General features: G+C 53.0%; 1 long non-coding RNA gene across 2 annotated transcripts; it reads right to left on the reverse strand.

Moving 5' to 3' along the window:
• Positions 1–485: 485 nt before the first annotated feature.
• Positions 486–3,721, reverse strand: LOC105376498 (uncharacterized). Of its 2 annotated transcripts, XR_930828.2 has the most exons (4): positions 3,308–3,721; positions 2,765–2,829; positions 1,932–2,059; positions 486–630 (listed from the first exon to the last, which is right to left on the reverse strand). It is a non-coding gene; the product is annotated as an uncharacterized LOC105376498 (long non-coding RNA). The 2 variants fall into 2 exon arrangements; XR_930829.2 differs by lacking the exon at positions 2,765–2,829.
• Between the last annotated feature and the right edge of the window lie 1,961 nt (positions 3,722–5,682).

Consider the following 5,682-nt stretch of genomic DNA (forward strand, 5'->3'; position numbering starts at 1 on the left):
TCTTTAGAACCAAAGATTTTGTGAATTATATTAATTTCCTGATATTCAGTCATCCTCTTATTACTAGAATAAATTCTGCATATTCATAAGGAATATATTCTCATTCTAAGGCATTGTTATATTCTGTTTCCTAATGTTTTATTTAAGATTTTTAAATTGGAATTAATAAGTAAAATTGGTGTATAGCTTCCTTTTTTGTGACTATACTCCCTGCCAAATTTCAATGTTACATTTACGTCATAGAAAACATTTGGAAGTTTTTTTCATTTTTCAATGTTTTGTAGCAGTTTAAAAAACACTGAAAATGCCTGTTATTTATTAAAGACTATGTAAAGTCCCTTATAACATTATCAAAGGCTATTCTAGAGAATAGCTTATTGACAACTATATTAGTCTGCTGGGGTTGCCATAACAAAATATCACAAACTAAATGGCTTAAACAACAGAAATTTATTGTCTCACAGTTCTGAAGGCCAGAAGTTGAGATCAAAATGTCAGCAGGGCTGTGCTCTGCGGAAGGATCTGTCCAGGCCTCCCTCCACTTCTGGTGGTTCCTTGGTGTGTGGCAGCATCACTCCAGTCAGCACGTGGCATCCTCCCTGTGTGCCTGGGTCTGTGTCCAGACTTCGCCTTTTTTAAAAGGACACCAGCTGTGTTGAATGACAGCCCACCCGGCTCCAATGTGACCTCATTCTAACTTAACTAACATCTGCAATGACCCTGTTTCCAAACGAGGTCACAATCTGAGGGACTGGGGCTTAGGACTTCAACACAGGAGTTCTGGGGCATACAATTCAACCCAGAACAACAACCTTATCCATTTCTTCTCACAAATCACTCTATTTAAACTTCCTAACTTTTATGGAGTTCGTTGTGATAAGTTATATTTTTCTAGGAAATTATCCATTTCTTAAATGTTTTCAAATATATCTGAATAATATGGACCAAGTTAATGTTTATGATTTTATTAATTTTCTGTTTCTTTTTTCTCAACAAAAGTAAATAATTAACTTTTGTTTCTGGTTATTTCTCCCTCATTGTTTGTTCTTTGTGGTGTTTAAAAAGCTATTTTACATTATTTAGTGGTTTACACATTCCACTCCACCCCATCCCCCAACCATGAACTTTTGTATTTATTTCTCAATTGTGCTGTTTTTTTTCCCATAATCACTAATTTATATTTTCTTTGTTAATGCTTTATTTATGCTTTCTTTCAGTTTATTTTTCTTTAAATGACTAAATGTATTCATTTTTAAATAATTATACAGTAAAATTGACATTTTTTACTAGGGTAAAGTCCATGAATTATAACATATATACGTTCATGTGACTACTGCCATCATCGCGGTACACAGCTGTTCTATGATCTAAAAAGAAATCCCCCAAACAAGAAAATCTCGTGTGCTGTTGACACCCTCCCCCTGTCCCAGCCCCATCCCCCACTGATCTCCCTTGCATTCTGTTCTCCCCTACTGCAGTTTTGTGTTTTAGGCAATTCCATGCTAATAGAATCATCCAGTATATACTTTGGAGACCAATACTCTCACAAGCACAGTGCATTTGAGATTCATTCAGATTGTTCTGGGTGTCCATACAGGCCAGTCTCTGTGGGGCTGCTGTTTAGGTGGCTCAACCTTGCTGCAGCTTTTAACTCTACTGGCCAGCCTATCTTGTTTTTGGGACAAGCTGGGCCCTGCAACCAGTGCTTATAGTGGGGAGCATAGGGGAAGGCATGGGTGACAGCAAACATCCCACCTACCTTGCCCTCTCCTCCTTCACCTTTGTCACCCCACCCTGTAGTTGGCACCTGTTTCCACGGTGTCTCCCATGGTGTCTCCCACGTGGCCCCTGTCAGCCTAGGGATCAGCCTGCTATGAGAACCTGCCACCTTGTCCTAGCTGCCCACTCCAGGGTCCTCCCACTGCACTTACCCTTCTCAGAGCAGCCATTACCCTGCAGACCTGGCCAGGGCAGAGCATGTGGAGCCTGCACCATGGGAAGACCTGGTGAGGCTCAAGCTGAATTGTTCTACATGCTTTCCTATACGTTCCAAAAATGTCTGAAAAACACATCAAGAGTCCTCAGTCACTCCTCTCTCCTCCCTGGATGCATTTATTTCAGTCTTTTCTTTCCTTCCTGTCTCTGTTTCTCACGGAGGACGCTGTGCCAGCTCTCAATGCTGGGGGCTCTGCTGACCTTCCTCCAGCCTCATTCATTCCTCAGATGAGTGGTCCTATCTCAGGGCTGAACTCCCTACTCCATTAAATTCCTGCTTCTAAGGTGCCCCCAGACTGGATCAGGGGCGACCACATTCAGCCACCTCTGGCAGAGTGTACACATGGTTGCAATAATCCTGGGAGTTCCCAAGAAGGAAACCCCCACTGCGTGTTCTCCCTGGCCTCCTGGGGTACTTCTCAGAGCAAGTGGGAGGAGCAGGAAAAGTGGCTTCACCAGTATCTCTTGATGGCTATTGATAGAAATGCTATGTGGAAGGGTGGGAGTGGGGAGGGATACACACAGCCAAGGAGGCCCAGCACTCTCCCAAGGGCTAATCTTTGGAGTCCCTGGCAAGAGGTAGGGAGCGGGTAATGAAGGAGCAATGCCCAGCAGGAGTGAGTCATCGGACTGGAGACCAAGAAAGGCCCAAGGAGGCACTCAAGTGCTGAAGGAATAAATGGTGGGCTCTGGACTTTAGTTAGTGTTCCTCACAATGTGTTAGATGGGAAAAGGTCTGGGTTCAAATAGGCTAGGAAGTGCTGCTCACCCGCAGTTAAATGTGTTCATCTGCTGGACAGCCTCTCAGAGCCTCTCTGTTCATCTTCGTCAGAACTGAGAGGAAAAGTTGGCAGTGAGTAAAGGGAGCTGGGAGGCGACACAAGGAAACGACTTTGTGGGTCATTGATCCATTGACCCCTCTCCTGTAAACTCTGCCCCAGGGACATCACTCAAGGACAGCTGAAGGGTGGCCTGGAAGGGCCTGGAGGAGAGATAGTCATTGAGGTGGGACCCAGGGCAGTGGCCGTGGGGATATGGGAGGCGTGTGGCCAGTGGTCAGGACAGAGTTCTCCCTGGGGTGAAGCGTGGGCCCTGCGTGGTCACCGTGATCAGGGCGGGCCAGGGCACACTGAAGTAAGGCAGAACAAGGAGGCCTGGAGGCCATAAGCTGTGGGTGGGACCTGCGCTCATCCAGGGCTTTGCACAGCACTGTCCCAGTGAACATGGCTGAGGCCTCACTGTGGCCCTGTCCTTTCTTTCTGGGCATCCCTGTCCTTTCCTGGGAGGGAGAAGAAGCAGCAGATTGTCCTACCTTGGCCATAGCGGGATCATTCCTTCCAGGGGCCTGACTGACCCCGTGGCACTCAGGGCAGCCTGCTGGGCGTTGGCTCTTTTTGACCCCTAGCCCTGGTCTCCTGGGCAAACCCCTGAACCTAAAGAAGAAAGGCCCCCGCCAGCTCCATCCTAATCTCAACCCACTTCTCTCCAAGAAGCTAAAGGAGCCTGCTCGGCTTTCATTCTCTGGTTCTCTATCCTCCCCTAAGACCTCAGGCTCATCCCTGGCTCCAAGCCCTTCATCTTCTGCTCTTATTGCCTCCCGGCAGCCCAGGATTTGGGGCTGTCTAACGCCCTCCGCAGTCTGCCAACTCTCTATCAGCGAAGGCTGAAGAACTGCGTTTGCGAAGAGTGCGTGCGTGGGGCCTCAGCGGGGCTTCGGTGGAGAGGGCAGGGCCTCCTACGAAGGGCGTGGCCTGAGTGCGGGGGCGGGACCTGTGGGCGGGGCGCGGCCTGAGGGCACTGCTGAGGAAAGCCAGTTCCTCCTACTCCCCAGTCCTGTGCTCCCGTGTCCCCGTCTCAGCAGGTCCCCGCTTAGTCCAGCACCCTGGGGAATGCTGCCCCTGGCTGGCAGCACGCCCTGCCTGCGTTCCTCCCGTCTTTGCTCCTGGTCACTGTGCGTCCTGCACAGTTGCCATCCGTGCCCACACGCTGCCCCAGGGCCCTGGTCTCCCGGTGTGGCTCGGTCTTGGTGTCCCCGCTGCGGTCGTCCCATTTGCCACCGCCGTTTGCATGTGGGCCTTTCCACTAAGAAGCGGGCACCCTAAGGCCCGAAGCGCTGGAGCCTCTCTGACTCTCTGTCCAGTCTGGCCTGGGACAGACACCTGTGGACACCTGAGGCAAAGGGAAGTCGGGGGCCAGGGACATCTCAGAGTAATGGGGTCTCGGGAAAGCAGGGGAGGCCGGGGCTGCAAGGGGGAGCTGGGGCAGGCAGGGGAGCCCAGCCCTGCAAGAGGGCAGAATGAGCCGACGGCAGGCCCCGCGGGGCGGTGCGCGGGGCTATGGAGACCACGCTCCTCCGTCCCCTCCTGTGTGTCTCAAGAGACGCGGCAGGGCACAGGCGACCGCCTGCTCCTGGCTTCCCCGGCTTTCCCAGGCCCCGGGAGCCAGGACTGTCTGAGTGGGGTGATCCGCCTGGACATTTGTTCGGAGATCCCTGCGTGGAGGACGACCTAGCGGGGAGAGGCTGGAAACAGGCGAGGAGGAGCAGCGCGGCTAGGGGACTGGACGACTGGAACCGGGTCCTCCTTAGCTAAGAAAGGGAAGGGCCTCAGCCTTACTGAAAGGAGCGCCTGCGGAGGACGCGGCCCTGCACCTGCGGCTTTTCCGCACCCCGCACGCCCGGCGTAGGCATCTCCTCCCCAACACAAGCAGGGGCAGCCCAGCTGCAGCCGAATCCACCTTGAGCGCAGCGCTGGGGTCACAGCCTCCGACAGCTGCGTAAGACTTGTCCTCCCCGGGCCCTTTCAGCGGCCTTCCAGAGTTCAGCATCAGCGCTCCTGGCGCAGACCCCACTGCTGACTCCTTTCACTCCCCCGCCACCCCTTGAGCTATTTGAACTTCTCATCCACCTGCAGGGCCCCGATGTCACCGGCTGACGTCACCAGCTGTAGACAAACAGGAGCAGGTTTCTGTTTCCCCCTCCTGGCACCTGGCCAAATGCCCAGGTATGCACCCACCCCCTACTGCTGTCTCCGTGGGGCTGCCCACCAGACCCCAAGGAGATCGAATGGGGAGTCTGTAGATCCTGATGTTACCAAGCCTCAGAGGGCCAGGAGGAGCTCTGAGCCAGGCCCTCAAACCCAGTAGGGTCCACGGCTGGGAGAAGGTCAGGGGCCCAGCCTGCTCTCCCGCTGCGTGCTGTGGCTCGCTCCAAGGAGGATGGTGGCCACACTGCACACACCTCTGTCCCCCTGCAGGCTTTCTGGCCTCAGCTCCCACTGGGTTCGGACAAGGGCGCAGAGCCACCTGGGAGTAGCTCTTTTCCCAGGTCCCGCCCCGGCTGGGCTGCCGTGGGGGTGGCCTGCTCTACCAAACCCTGCTCCTGGCTCCTGCCAGGGCCGTCTCCAGGGCGACAGCCACACCTGCTGTTACCCAGTCAGGGCTCAAAGAGGTCACAGTTCCCTGTCCTTTCCAGTCTCCTCAGCCCCACCCACGCCTCTAAAACAGACTCTACCAACGCCCCCAGGGCAGTGCTGGGGTCCTGGCTGGTGGGTGTTTGCTCTCCTTGATTTCATTCCAGTCTTTGATAAGCATTCATTGAGCACCTGTTGTGTACACTAGGCCTGTTTAGGTGGTAGGACCGGAGGAATATGACTTGGGTCCTGGCCTGTGACAGGCAAGAGCAAAAGC

Source organism: Homo sapiens, chromosome 10 (assembly GCF_000001405.40).
Source record: "Homo sapiens chromosome 10, GRCh38.p14 Primary Assembly".
NCBI lineage: Eukaryota > Metazoa > Chordata > Mammalia > Primates > Hominidae > Homo > Homo sapiens.